The 15,062-nt window shown below is 51.4% G+C and overlaps 2 annotated features.

Annotated features, from left to right (window-relative positions):
* Window positions 13,398-13,901: an enhancer, noted in NCBI's record as "H3K4me1 hESC enhancer chr16:86902991-86903494 (GRCh37/hg19 assembly coordinates)". NCBI's record gives its function as "activates a minimal SCP1, AML or CMV promoter by ChIP-STARR-seq in naive H9 embryonic stem cells {active_cell/tissue: H9 hESC(naive)}" and the evidence as "EXISTENCE:reporter gene assay evidence [ECO:0000049][PMID:30033119]".
* Window positions 13,902-14,405: an enhancer, noted in NCBI's record as "H3K4me1 hESC enhancer chr16:86902487-86902990 (GRCh37/hg19 assembly coordinates)". NCBI's record gives its function as "activates a minimal SCP1, AML or CMV promoter by ChIP-STARR-seq in naive H9 embryonic stem cells {active_cell/tissue: H9 hESC(naive)}" and the evidence as "EXISTENCE:reporter gene assay evidence [ECO:0000049][PMID:30033119]".

The raw sequence follows: 15,062 nt of genomic DNA, 5'->3' as shown, positions 1-15,062 counted from the left end.
CATCTTTTAACAGTCATCTGTGTGATATACAAGTTTTCCCAGCTAGACTGAGAGGTTGCCTTGTTCATCTCCATATCTTCAGGTTGAGCATAGTGCTGGGCAGATAGTAGGTTTTGAACAAATGGATAAATGGATGAGTGATTCAGAGTATCCCAGGATTAAACTGCAGACTCAGCTCCTCCTGGCTTCAGCCCAACTCCCCAGCTGCCACGTGGGTCTGCCTGGACTCTCTGGCAGCTAGGAGCAGGAGTGGAGGATTTTGCTTAGGCATGAGTTATTTCCAGGAGCCTGCCAGGAGCCAGGTCCCACTTAGGTGCTGGGGATGGTGAGTGGGACACATGAGGATCCCTGTTAGATAGTCAATGAATCATGCAAATGAAGGAGACACTTGTGATGCTGGGGGGCAAGTCACCCAGAGAACTTGCCTGGCGGTCAGGGGCACTTCCCCGGGGAGGTGACAGTGAGTTGGCACCGGGGGAAGAGGAAGCTGATGGGTGAGGAGGGGAGGGCAGAGGCCGGCAGAGCTTTCCAGGTGGAGGGACAGCACGTGTTGTCAACATTCTAGGGCAGGAAGGGGAACTAGAAAAAGTGCCCTGTGTCTGTGGCCCCTGGAGGTAGGGGCACCTGGTAGCCCTGGATGAGGCTCAGGTGGGCTGCAGATCTGGAGGGAAGATGATGGTGGGAAGCCCACCTGTGCCCACTTGGGACAAGGCAACCCTAAATTAGGGTGGGGAAGAGTTATGATCAACAACAGCCCCCACCTATTGGGAGGGGGTTCCCTAGAGCAGGTGAACCCCACAGCCGCCCCCCACTGCCTCCCCACCATCTCACCACCCCTCTATTCTCCTGCCCTTTCTTTCTGCAGGGCTCTTTTCTTAGACCTGGCCTCTTCCCCAGTTGTGCCTGAGGGCAAGTGTCAGCTGGGCACCATCTAACCTTCCAGGAGGGCACTTCAGTGGCTGCACCAGTCTTGCCTGGGTCTTGGGACAGCCTGAGATTTATGTCCAAGATCTGTGAGCTTAAAACTCCTCATGTTCGCCCTGCGGATGTTTCACGTGCAATTTGGGAATTTGGGAACGCTCAAAATAGCATTTGCTCATAAAATCGCCTGAAATGCAGTCCAAATGTGTCTGTAAAAAGTAACCAAATAGCTATTTATTGTTATTAGTTCACGTTCTTCGAGCTTCCACATGGGGCTGGGCGTTGATTTAATTGGGTGCCAGACGAGTTTGGGGGTGACCTCAGATGCCGACGCGGACACACTGGGCTCTGCTGTGCAGAGAGAAGCTGGCAATCAGCAGATTCTCCCCGCTGGCTCTGACATCTGACCAGGACACATGTGGAAAGCCCCGTTGGCCTTTTCAAGACATTCTCCTTAAGGTAAATTCCTAAAAACCCCGGCAAGAGTCCAAGGCTGCTCATACAGATGCCAAAATCTAGAAAAAAGGAGCAGGCTGGAAGATGATAAAATTATAATTAGGCAACCCCCTTCCAAAAGAGCCTGTAGCAATCCATTACTTCTATTCTTATGTCAGTAAAGTACACCTCACATACAAGTCACCATTTTAACCATTTCGAAGTGTGCAATGCAGTGGCATTTACATTCACAATGCAGGGCAACCATCACCGCCAACTCCAGAACATTTTTACCACCTGCAGAGGAAACTCTGCACCCGTTCATAGTCCCTCCCCATGGGCCCTCACCCCAGCCCCTGTCAACCGCACGTCCACCTCCTGTCTCTATGGGTTTGCCTTTTCTGGACATTTCATGGAAGCGGAATCGTGTGCTCTGCGGCCTTTTGTGTCCAACGAGCACATGAAAAGATGCTCACCGTCACAAGTTGTTGGGGAAAACGCAAATCAAAACCACAAGGAGATGCCACCTCACACCAACCAGGATGGCTGTCATCCGGGAATGGAAAATCACCAGTGCTGGTGAGGATGTGGGGGAACTGGAGCCCAGGTTCACAGCTGGTGAGGGCCAAATGGTGCCACCGCTATGGACAGCCACCACTTCCTAACAATCACTTATGACTTAGCAGCTGGCTGGGCTCGCTCAGGCTGAAGGAGAAGGAGCCAGTGGATGTTTTGTGCCTGTTGGAGCCTCAGACCTCCCGCATAGTAGCCGTGTGACCTTCAGGAATTCACTCGACCTCTGTGAGTCTTTGTTCTTCATCTTTTACCTTCCAAGATTCTGTGAGGCCAAAATAAATCACATGTATGGCTGGCGAGGGCCTCCCCATGTGTCCCCTGCTGCCTGTCTGGCCTGGTTCCTTCCTGAGTCTCTCCCTCATGCACCACCCCCCAACCAGCCACACGGCTGGGGCTCAGTGCCTCACACAGGCAGTTCCTGCCCCAGGGCCTTTGCACTTGCTGGAGCCACCTGGAATGTGCCCTCCCTCACCTCCTTCACACTTCCATTCAAACGCCGCCTTTCAGTGACACCTGCCCTGAGTGCCCTACTGAAAGTTACAACCCCTTCCCTACCCCTGGGCAGTCCTGCCACTTAACTCCTGTCACTTACAGCATAATAATTGACTTTTACTTTTCAGCTTTATGAAGTCACTTTCTTACCAACAGAACGTGAGCACCACAAGGGCTGAGTCATGTTGGTCTGTTCAGCATCAGCTCCTGAGCATGAGGCCGGTGCAGGGGAGCTATTCAAAAGATGCTGTTGGATCAATGGACAGGCTGTTGGCTCCACATGATGTAGGCATCTTGAATGACACGTGTGCAAGGCAGGTTTCCTTGCACACACGGAGGTCAGGGTCTTCCTCGCGACATCCTTGTCTCCCTCCCTGCACGTGGCCCAGCACACCCGCATTGTGAGGGGTGCACAAGAAGGGAGGCCGGCTGGTGGGGGATGAGTTCGGCTCTTGTTGGCAAGCAGCACAGACACCCTGGTTCTGGCTCAGGTGACAATTGGGGAATTTATAAGGATACAGGGATGGAGCTGAATCTTGGAGAGGGATGGCACAAGGCCCCAGGAAGGTGCAGGAATTCTGTCTCTTTTCCTCCCACTGTCCCTCCCTTCTTCTCTTTTTCCTCTCTCTTCTTCTCTTTCTCCTTTCTCTCTTGGTCTCTCTTCTCTCAGTCTCCTCATGCTGTTCTTCATGGTTCCTCTCCCCTCCACCCATGTCGTCTGTGTCTGGGAAACATTTTCCCAGCAGTGTGCGTACCTAGCAACCTAACGCAGCTTGCATTCTCTCTCTCGGTCCCAAGTTCAAGTTCCCTGGGTGGGGGATGCTGATCTCCGTTTGGGTCAGGCTGCTCCCTGGAGCCCATCAGCTGTGTGTGAGGGTGTCAGGCACATTGTAGAAGAAGGCTTTAGGGTGGGAGTTGAGGGACAGAGGGGTGAGCCTGGCAGTTAGGAAACTCCATCGTGAGCCGGGAAGCCTTTGCAAAAGCTGCTCACCACATGAAGGTAAAGGGGACACAGGCTACACATCCCCATTTCCTCATTAGTCCACTTGTCCATCAAATACCTCTTGGGCTCCTACTTCGTGCCTAGAACAGTGAGTAGCTACTCACTGTTCTAGGGTCTGGGTCTACATCGGTGGATGAAATATATGGATACTCCTTCCTTTATTAAACTTATAACCAAGTAGAGGAAAGGCTGCATAAAGAAGTAAACACACGACTGAACAGTCCTTAGTGCTTGGCGAAGCTCAGCAAGGTGAGATGGACGTGAGGGAAGCAGGGCAGCTATGGCTTGGCCCGGGCAGGTGGGGAAGGCCTCTCTGAGGACCTGAGTGAAAGGGATGAGCCTGGCCACACTCCAGGCAGGTGACCTAGTCTGTGCAAAGGCCCTGTGGCAGGCGCACGTGTGTGACTGAAGACAGGAACTTGGCTGGCGGGCCTGGGAGGAAGGAGACACCTGAGTCTAGCAGGCCATGCACAGGCAGGAGAGCCCGTCCACTTCCGGGCCTTTCTGCAGGTGTCAGGCCATCCCCACGCTCTTTGTTGTTGCCATGAAAACATCTCAAGAGAACAATGGGGCTCCTTTGGGGACACGAGACTGGGACGGAACCTGCAATCGGGAGCTGAGTTGCTTAGATTGGAGTCTCAGGGAAGCTACTCACTGCCTCTGAGACTCTGACCTGCTGCTCGGCCTCTCGGGCCTCGGTTTCCCCATCTGTAGGGTGGCACTAAGAGCTACCCCCCATGGCCGTGAGTGTCCCATGAAGTCTCACCCAGGACCTCACAGGTGCCCAGAGGTCACGTCCCGCTTCAGGGCAGCGTGTGTGCATCTCTGGGCGCCGCTCAGGAAGGTAAACAGCGGCAGGAAACATAAGGCTGCAATTGTACACCCGCTGACGGCAACGATTACAGAGCTCGTTTTTCAGGGATCTGCGATGACAGTTGCGGCCCAGCGTCGGGGGAGCCTCGGCCCGCTTCCTACCCGCTGCTCCAGCCTCCTCGCCGACCTTGCGGGAGCTCGGGGTGAAGAATGAGGGCCGTGCCTGGCGGCGCTCTGTGTGCCTGTCGGACAGATGGAGGCTGGCTCAGAACGAGTGACTTTCAGGCAGCTCCAAGGGGGACAGGGTGTCTCGCTTGTCAACCCCCTTCGCTGTGTCCCAAGCAGGAGGCAGGAATTCTTGACAGGAAAAGCTGAAAGATAGGTCCCCACTGGACCATACAGATAATCTGCTGGGGGCCTCTAAACCCCAGGAAAGGTCAGGGCCTACCAGAGGCCTCACCCTGAGGGTCCCAGGGGCCCTGTCAATCACGGCTGATGCAGGAGCGGTGGGGACGGGTCAGGCCGGCGTTTAAGAAAGCCCGGTATTGTTTTTAAAGGTTAACCCGTTTGCATCTTGGGTTTCATCGGGAAGTCTGTGTGGTCACACCAGCCAATTTAGCATTTGTTGGGAGCTGGGTGAGATGGGCCATGAGGAACAGCCCCCTGGGGGCCCTTAGGTAGTTCTGTGGTCATGACTTGTGGGGAACGCAGGCGGGGAAAGGGCACATTTGTATCCCATATTTGGTGATGTGGTGGGCTTCAAGTTCTTCTTTCTCTCTCATTTGTCAGGATCTTAATGAGAAACCCCAAAAGGATTTAGAGATTTCCCTTTCCCAAGGACAGGAAATAAATGGGAACGTTCTATGAAATTAGGGGAAAACCCATTGCAAGTTAAGACAGTAGAGTCTTTGTTGTCTACGTGTGTGTGAGTGTGAGAGACAGAGTGTGTGAGAGTGTGTGAGAGTGTGAGAGTGTGTGAGTGTGAGAGAGTGAGAGAGTGTGTGAGAGTGAGAATGAGAGAGTGTGAGAGACAGACAGAGACAGGGAGAGACCAGAGACAGACAGAGAGAGAAACCAGGAGAAAACAGAGACAGAAAAACAGAGAGACAGAGACAGGGACAGGGAGGGATGGACACAGAGAGAGAGGGACAGGGAGGGATGGTCACAGAGAGAGCAAGACAGAGAGAGAGAGAGAGAGAGACAGAGACAGGGAGGGATGGACACAGAAAGACAGAGAGAGAGACAGAGACACACAGAGAGACAGAGAAACAGAGAGAGAGAAAGAGACAAAAAGAGACCAGAGAGACAGAGAGACCAGAGAGAGAGAGGGACAGAGACAGATCAGAGAGAAACAGAGACAGAAAGAGACCAGTGAGACAGAGAGAGAGACCAGAGAGGGGCAGAGAGATACTAGAGAGAGACAGAGACAGAGACAGATCAGAGAGAGTGAGAGACAGACAGGAAGAGACCAGAGAGAGACCAGAGAGACAGAGAGACAGGCCAGAAAGAGAGAGACAGAGATACGAGAGTCACGGAGAGAGAGACCACAGAGAGAAACAGAGACAAGAGAGAGAGATAGCAAACAGAGAGACAGAGAAACAGAGAGAGAGATAGAGACCAGAGAAAGCCAGAGCCACAGCCAGAGCGAGCGAGCGTCCCCGTCTTTGGGATGTGCTCTCTGGCATTGAGGCCAGGACTGTTTAGCGAAGTTTCATCTTTTGTGCGTTCTGGACTCCACTCGTGACAATGATTCATTCTTTGACATTCTCAGCTTCGAATAGACAGTTTGTCCCTCTCTTCTCAGGCATTTGGACACCAGGGGAAGCAAACTTTCGCAAGCAGGTGTAAATGTATGTTAAACCATAACTACATTGAGAAATAAACAGAGGCTTGTGTGCCATAAATACTATAATCTGTTTCTTCCATGTGACGTATCTGGGGTAAAAAGAAGAAGAAGAAAAAGAAGAAATGCTGAGATGCTGAAGATAAGATGGAAATAAGTCTGACCTGAGCGAATTACTTTACTGTCCTTTGGAGTTTCTTGAAAATAAAATGTATTCATTTGAAGTGTAATGGGCTTTTCCTTAACCAAAACTTCTGGCCATTGATTTGTGTAAAGAAAAGCCGTGCACAGGCTCAACTGAGGAATAAAAGTTGTTTCAGAGTCGTAAGTCTTCTGAGTAAAATCATGTTGTTGTGACTTTTTACCTATCCATGTAACATTCCACATTGTCGTCAAGTGATTCCGCAGGGAATGCAACGCTCAGCTTCCCAGACACCTGCCCTGGGTGACAGAGGCACCAGCTCCCAGGTTAGACTGGCATCTGGCAGCTCTGAGCTCCAGCCCTGGCCTGTCACTGCCACGGGTCAAGGGACCTTGGCTGAGTTACTTAATGTCGCTAAGCCTCGAGGTTCTGAGCTGTGAAGTGGGCATGCAGCTCCTCTTCCATTCCACACGAGATTGACATGCACTGCATATTGACACTGTGGCTACCTCTATACATACCGTACGACTCACCCATTTAATGTGTACAATTCAGTGGTTTCTAGCATAATCTCAGGTAGGCAGCCATCACCACAGTCAGCTTTAGAACATTTTCCTTTTTTTTTAAATTTTATTTTAGAGATGAGGGCTCACTGTGTCACCCAGGCCAGTATCCAACTCCTAGGCTCAAGCAATCCTTCTGCCTCGGCCTTGCAGAGTGCTAGGATTACAGGCGTGAGCCTCTGAGCCCAGCTAGCCTGAGAACATTTTCATCACCCTAAGCAGAAACCCTGTACCCATCAGTAGTCAGCTCCATTCCTCTTTCCTCCAGCCCCTGTCAACCACGAGTCTACTTTCTGTCTCTACGGATTTGTCTTTTCTGAACATTTCATAGAAATGGAAGCATATGAACTGTCATCTAATCTTTTCTATATATGATCGTAGAATATTGGGTCCTTTGTGACTGGCCTCTGTTGCTCAGCATCACGTCCTCCGGGCTCATCCCTGTTGCAGCATATGCCAGTGTTTCCCTCCTTTTTATGGCCAAATAATAATCCATTATATGGACAGATCACATCATGTGTATCCATTTATCTTGAGGGACATTTGGGTTGTTTTCACCTTTTAGCTATTATGAATAATGCTACTGTGGACATTTGTGTTTAAGTGTTTGTGTGGACATATGTTTTCATTTCTCTTGGGGATATTCCTTGCAGTGGAATTGCTGGGTCATAGGGTAACTAGGTTGAAGTGTTTAAGGAACCGTTAGACTGTTATTCACAGCAGCTGCACCGTCTTGCATCCCCATGAGATTCCTTCTTAACCTTGACCAAAGAAGCCCTCATGAGGTGGGGAGAGAGTCATCGTTCTCTGACGTGGTCTTAAAAGTGCCTATAGACCTGGCCTCTAGGGATGAAGAAAACATCAAACATGACCACGATCCCTCTGTTTGGCTATTTCATTTTTTCCTAAGACGGAATGTTATTTCACTTGGGAGTCATTCAGTTTCAGATGATAGAAAACAAGCCCTGAATTGGTTTCTGAAGTAAAATAAATTATTACCTTATCTAACTGGACAGTTTGGAGGTGCTGACTTCAGGCAAGACTTGATCCAGGGGTTCTAAGAAGCCACAAAACATCATTGCTGAGTCTCCTCACTCTGCCTTCCAGGGCATGGGCTTCTTCCTCAGCCTCTGCTGGGTGTCCCATAGTTCCAGACTCTTGTCTTAGGGTTCCAGCAATTCTACTCCTCAAATCCTCATGGTATACAATTGGGGTGGGGTGGGAGTGGGAATGGGTGGTAGGGAGGAAGAGAAACAGAAAGGGAGAGATAGGGATGGGGTAAGGTAGAAAGGAGAGCGGGGTGGAGATTATTTCTGTGTATCTCTTCAAGTCCTGCCTCTGCCTAAGCACACAGCTAGGAAGATGCTGATCCGATTAAGTCAAAAGGGCCCCATATTAAATAGGGCCACTCTGCTGATCTCATTTTAACTTGATCACCTCTGCAAAGACTGTTGTCAAATTAGGTCACATTCTGAGGATCCAGAGTCAGGATACCATCATATCTTTTTGAGGGGACATAATTTACCCCACAACAGAGAGGAGGAATCTTCTATGGGTCTGAATATTGTTGGCACCTTTACTTTTCAACACGCATAGGACTCTGCCGCCTCCCGCTCCTAAGCCTGGCTGCTGACCAAGCAGCACCTGCAGGGCTCAGGGTTCCAATAATGTGGGGACCCCCCCTTTCTACGTCCAGTTCTCCAGAGAACAGGCTTACTTGGGGCCGCTGGGCCCTGGAAGTCCTTCTACTTCATTTATTTTATGTAAGAGACTCATCTGTGTCTCATACACTTCTCTTTGCACTTAACCATAATCCTGGTGTTAGTTAGAAACTATCCAGAAAAGAGACAATCTGCCTGGTGGCACGGGAGGTCGGAACTGGAAAAGGCCTTAGAGGAAATCAATTTCCAGCCCAGTGTTCTTCAGGCTGGGCTTTGTGCTATCGCAGAATTCCTGGGAGTTTGGTGGCCTCTGTTGGGTCTTAGTTTGGGCTCCTCAGAAGCATACCCAGAGACAAGGAGTCATGGGCAAGCTGTTTATTTGGGAGGTGACCCAAGGAAACCCCCAAGGGAGTGGGGAGGCAGGACAGGGAAGGGGAACAGCAGCAGAGCTTTAGTTCATAGGCAGCCACTGCCCCGGGCACCTGGGGTTCAGTACCACTGTGGACCTCTGGGGGTCAGCGTAGAGCTGGCCTCAGTTATCTCAGTGAATGAGTGAGGGAGCTGGGATATTTATACATCAAATCCTCTGTCTGCTACTGGCAGTGGGCTGATTCTGTTAGAGCCACAGGGATTCACAGTAAATGGTCTTTTGTGAGGCACATCAGGGGATGAAGAGGGGGCACCAACAATTACTATAAGGGGGCACCAAGGTATCAGATTCAGATGTTGATTTAAAGGCTGAGCATCTGCATGAGGATTTTAAAAAACAAGCTACAGGTGTGTTAAACATAACAGCAGTGTCAATGGAGCAGAAGGGCAATGAATGGAAAGTAATTCTTCCCTGGAGTCCAGTTCCCAGTCCCTCCCCAGAGCACTGAGTGAGTGTCTCAGGGGTCCTTCTGATGTTTTCTTTCTGTATCTGAGCAGATGCAAAGAAAAGACACACTTTCCTTACTCAGTGGTAGCCTGCTATTGATGCCTCCAATGCTTTGCCCTTTTCCTCAGCAATTCACCTGGAATTCATTCCTGTCCGTATGCTTGGTGGTGCCTCATCCTTTTTATTTACCATGGCAGCATAGGACGTAGTACTCCAGTGTGTGGACATGGTACTCCAGTGTGTGGACATGGTACCCCAGTGTGGGGACGTGGTATTCCAGTATGTGGACATACCATGACTTATTTAATCTGTCTTCTAATACTGGGCATTTTGGTTGTTTCCAATCTTTTGTTACTACAAACAAGGGTGTAACAAAATGTTTATCTCTTTGTACAGAGGCATGAATTGATCCATTGGATAAATCCCTAGAAGTGGAATTTATTTGGCAGAATCTTCTGTTTTTAAGTTTTTGGCAAATACTGTCCAAACACTTTTGAAAGAAGTTGACCGATTTGACATTCTTGTGGCAAGAGCCCATGGGGTACATGGCTCAGATGTCCCTCATGTCAGGAGAAACCCTGCTGTGGGGTGAGGGTGGCTGGTGCCTCCAGCTTCCAGTGCCCTCTGGCTCTACCTCTGCTCTCCAGCCAAGGCCCCATGTCTCCAGGGCAGCTAATGGTCAAGCATGGCAGAAGCACAGGGCCCCTCCATTTCTGCCTAGCAGGGGCATCCTCTATGGGGCACCTTCAGTCTGGGGCTCTCGGTCAGCATGGCTGAGACATCCTCTGAGATGCACTGCAGGCTGAGGCTCTTGCTACTGCATGCTCCTTCCTTCCCCTCTCCTCTCACGGGTGTCGGACCAGCATTGCAATCTGAAGGCTCGCCCGCGCCCTCCAGCTCCCCTTCCATTTTCTGCAGTGCACTAGCACCACCTCCCTAATACATAGCTCACATTCCTGACTCCATCGTGGCATTCCTTCCTGAAGACCCATGCTGACACCCACTGACAATGTGTGAGGATGGGCTTCTGATGGTACTCGGTGAGCAGGGGTCTATGGCTAAGTGGTTTCTGAGCTCCCAAGCTTATCCAAATCTCTCACTTTATAACAGGAAATCTAAGGCCCAGAGAGGGCAAGCCACTTGCCTGAGGCCACACACTCAGGGGTAGCAGGCCCTGAGTGCCACACCAGGCCACACCGAAGTGCTCCCTCAATCTCAGACACCAGCTGACCTTGATTGTCCCCACTCCCGGCCAAAACCAAGCCCGGAGCAGACATGTGTGGCCTGGACTACCTCTCCTGCTCTCCAGATCTTCTCAGGGACAGGGTTCAAAGTTCCCCAAAACGTGTTGGGGGAAATTGCATCCCAGTTTTTGGAAAGCCTGGCCAATTTCTTCCCATGCAGCCATTTCTGTGTCAATACGGGCTATGCACAGATGCCAGTGCCAGCTCCCACTCCTCCGTGGTCAGCCGAGCAGGGACCAGAACTCAGAGAGAAGCACTTTCCAGAGGGGCAGAGTGGGTGAGGGAGACGAGGAGGGAGACAGTGGGCCACAGATTCTCATCACGTTTTCCCCTCCCATGCTTTCAGGGGCTTAAACAGCAATAAAAGAATGTGCGATTGTCAGCATAAATCAAGAAAATCAGAATTCTGCTGAGCAAGCGAGAACATTGGACTTGAAAGAGCCATTTGCTAAATGTGGAAGGAGCCCTTGAAAGTGTTCCTGGAGGCCTCTTTCCAGCCCAGCTAGTTTGGGACTGAGCTAGATCACGGGCTGGTGCTGAGGGCGTGGACTCAGGGCTCAGGGCAGCCGCATTTGGGCTTGGCTGTGCCCCACCTGGTACGGCTCTGCAGGCAGCTGGGTGGTTGGGTCCTGGCACCAAGATGAGTGAGGGAGGGAGGGACGAGGAGATGGCATGGAGATAGGGTCCTCGCCAAACATACTTGTGTAAGCCCCCAGAGGGCAGAGCCAGAGCTCATCTTTTATTCATCTCTAAGTTTCTCTCAGCCCTTAGCATAAGGGAACTCCTGCTCACTGGAGTTTCCTTTGCTGACTGAGTGAATAAAAGAAATAGAAAGGCAGGGAGGGAAGAAAGGGGGAAGGGGGAGGGAGGGGAGGAGAGAAGGGAAGGAGGGAGGAAGAAGCAAACCCCTGTATTAGTCCATTTTCACACTGCTATAAAGATACTACCCAAGACTGGGTAATTTATAAAGGAAAGAGGTTTAATTGACTCACAGTTTCCATGGCTGGGGAGGCCTCAGGAAACTGACAATCGTGGCAGAAGGCAAAGAAGAAGCAAGGACTTTCTTCACAAGGTGGCAGGAAAGAGAAAATCCCAGGGGAAACTGCCAAGCACTTTTAAACCATCAGATCTCATGAGAACTCACTCACTATCAGAGATTTTAAACCATTGGATCTCATGAGAACTCACTATAACAAGATTTTAAACCATCGGATCTCATGAGAACTCACTATCACAAGATTTTAAACCATCGGATCTCATGAGAACTCACTCACTATCACAAGATTTTAAACCATCAGATCTCATGAGAACTCACTATCACAGGATTTTAAACCATCGGATCTCAGGAGAACTCACTCACTATCACGAGAACAGCCTGGGGGAAACCGCCCCCGTGATCCAATCACGTCCCACCAGGTCCTTCCCTCCACACGTGGGGATTATGGGGATTACAATTTGAGATGAGATTTGGGTGGGGACACGACCAAACCATATCACCCCCAAGTGCTTTTTCCTGTTCACCGTGAGTCATTTTAATTAGGCGCTGGCCTAACCTTTCGGCTCAGCAGATGGGACCCGGCCACCTGCCCCAGCACCCCCTGGGTGGGCACAGCCATGGCCTGCAGCAGACAGTCCTGAGGTCAGCGCCCAGCTGTGGACCCACAGATGCCCTCAATGGAGAGCAGAGACCATGCCTCGGTTTCCACACTGGCCTCAGGCTTTGCAGACGAGCGACGTGTTGTCCAGTAGCTTCGTGGCGATCATCAACATCCAGGCCATCCTTGACTGGACTAGTGCCATTCACGGTTCTTATCTGTACCATGTCCACATGCTGGGGTACCCCTGAGCTTAAACCTGTGCAACAGCCTGAGGAAGAACCTTGGTCTGGCTTTCCCAGGTCTGCACAGGCTCTGCTTCTCTTTGTGGGCTGCATTGTGAGAAGGTGGGTGTATGATGCTGGCCACAGCCGCATCCTATGTCTTCAAACAGTCAGCCGCAAAATGCACCAACAGGCAGAGAAATGCCACCAGGTGTGCGTGATCAGCGAGGTGGCCGTGTGGCTCCAAGACTGAATCATCTCTCCATGTTGCTCCTTCCTGCCTGCTTCAGCTGACAGCATTGCCCCTGAGCAATCCAGTCTTTAAATCCCACCGGGACTTAGAAAGCTTCTATTTCAAAACACAGGATCATAAGTTATCTATTTAAACAATGTCGCTGTTAAGCTGCGCTGTCTGTGATCTATTGGAATTATTCCTTTCAGTGTAGTCCAGCGAATGTCCCTTGCTAACCAGGGCACTGAAATGGAGAAGGCAGCAGCTTAATGAGTCCTGAGAAGGGGATCGAAGGCTTGCTAGAGGGTTGTGCAGAGGGTAGGACAGGGGTCCGGGGACCTTGACGACGGAACAATAAATACAAGTGTCTCTGCTCAAACTGGCTTGTCTCAGCTGTCACACAGGTGAGACCTTAACCCACCACAGGTGGTTGGGAGGATCTAAGATGAAAGTATCCCCCCACCCATCTCTGAGCTTTCGATGGGAGTGGGTCTGGGAAATCAGGTGGGTCTAGGTCCCCAAACCAGGCCCCCCACAACTGGAGCCTCCTCCCTGGTGCTGGGAAGTTAGGTGGTGCACACGTGTGTGTGTATCTGTGAAGATGTGCGGTGTTTGCGTGGATGGGGTGCATGTGTATTGTTGCTGCTGCCTTTTAAAAATTCAGATGAAATTCGCATAGCAGAAAATTAGCCATTTTAGAAGGGAACAACTCAGCGGCACTGAATGCATCACATGTTGTGCGGCCATCACCTCTACGCAGTTCCAAACTGCGCCTGCGCGGCCATCACCTCTCCGCAGTTCTAAACTGCGCCTGCGCCGCCGTCACCTCTACGCAGTTCCAAACTGCGCCTGCGCCCCGTGTGTTCGGGGCGTGGAGGACACGTGGGTGTGCATGTCTGTGGACATGCGGGTGCGTCTGGGGCACGCCTGTGCCAGCCCGAGGGGCTGGGAGCACTTGCAGGACTTTGGGGTTTGCCGAGCAGCCACACGGGCCCTTAAGGTAAAGCTGTCAGCCCCGCTCTTATTCCTACCTCCCCCTGGATGTTTATTTGTTCTTGTCAGGGGACAGTGAGTGATATTTTGTTTGCTGGACGCATTTGGCTGTGAGTGACAGCCGTGGGGGGCCTGCTGCTCCCCTGCCCACTGTGGGAGAAGGCCTGGCCCCCCACAGGTGCAGTGGGAGGCTGACCTCACCCCCTGCAGTGCCATGGCTTTCCTCCTCCCCGCGGGCAGCTGGCCTGGCCTCCTGGGGACTTGGGTGGGGACAGGCTGGCTGGGCTGGCGCTGGTCTCCTTGGGATGTTGGGCCCCTCAGCTCCTCTCAGCCTGGGTCCTGGAACCTGTGAGGAAGGAGCTGCGTGGCCCCTGCTCATGCCACTCTTGGGAGAGGTGGGCACACTGCAGGTTTCAGCCAGTGCTACCTGGAGGAGACATCCCCCCAGGGGTCAGGACCGGGGGTTGGATGCAGCTCAGCTAAAAAGACATTTGATATCATTTAACCGAGTTGCCACTTCAATGGGAATTAAGTTCTAATGTCAGCACGTAAGCCCCCAATTAAGAACTGCATAGAAAAAATAATCCTCGAAAGAACAGTTAAATCATCTATAAATCACGCTGCTTCTGCTGTTGAACAAGCAAAAGCAGCGGCTTCCACAGAGCCTTACAGTGCACAGTAAGGATCCGTCTGCAGACTGACCGGGAACTCACATTTGCCTTCAGGGCTGCAGGCTGTGCTTTCTGGGTGGCCGCGGGACATGGGAAAGGACGGATCTCCAGTTTCATCTCCAGGCGTTAAGTCCACTGGGTGAAGCAGAGGGCAAAGCCCCCAGGCTTTTAGAATCATTTTCCCCTCTACCTCTCTGCCTTACCTTCTCTCTGTCTCACCCCCTCTCTTCCTTTCCCTCTCCGTGTCTCTCTCTGTCTCTCTGTCTTAGCTCTCTTTGTCTTCCTCTTTCTTTCCCATCTCTCTTCTCAATACCTAGAAGCGAATTCACATGCACACAGGTCATGATGCCAGCATAAAATAATTTCATGTTTGTAATTTACCCCCGCTTCAGTAGAGAGCCCAATAGTCGGCTACAGCCCATTGTGGCCACAGCCGAATGCTGGCCTGGGTTGGCCATATCTTCCTGCATTTCAAGAGAAGCCAGAAGTTTGAAATGGTTGGCGACATCTCCCATTTTTAGAAAAATGTGGCTCAAATTAAAAATAAAACATAAAACTAAACAAAGGAGAGCAGCAGAAGCTGCTCCGAGGTCTGGAGCGTGACCTCCGTGTGATGGGTTCTCCCTGGGAGGGCTTCTGGGAAGCCCCTCCTTCCAGGGAGGGGCCGCGGGTGTCCCGAAGCTGGGCCAGCCCTGGTCCCTTCCTCACCCCCTCCGCCCACCTCACCCTCACACAAAGGTCAGAGGGTGTCGGCCGCCCTGTCTCCAGATGCCATTA

This window comes from Homo sapiens, chromosome 16, assembly GCF_000001405.40.
Source record: "Homo sapiens chromosome 16, GRCh38.p14 Primary Assembly".
Taxonomy (NCBI): domain Eukaryota; kingdom Metazoa; phylum Chordata; class Mammalia; order Primates; family Hominidae; genus Homo; species Homo sapiens.
This window is presented reverse-complemented; position numbering and strand designations above follow the sequence as displayed.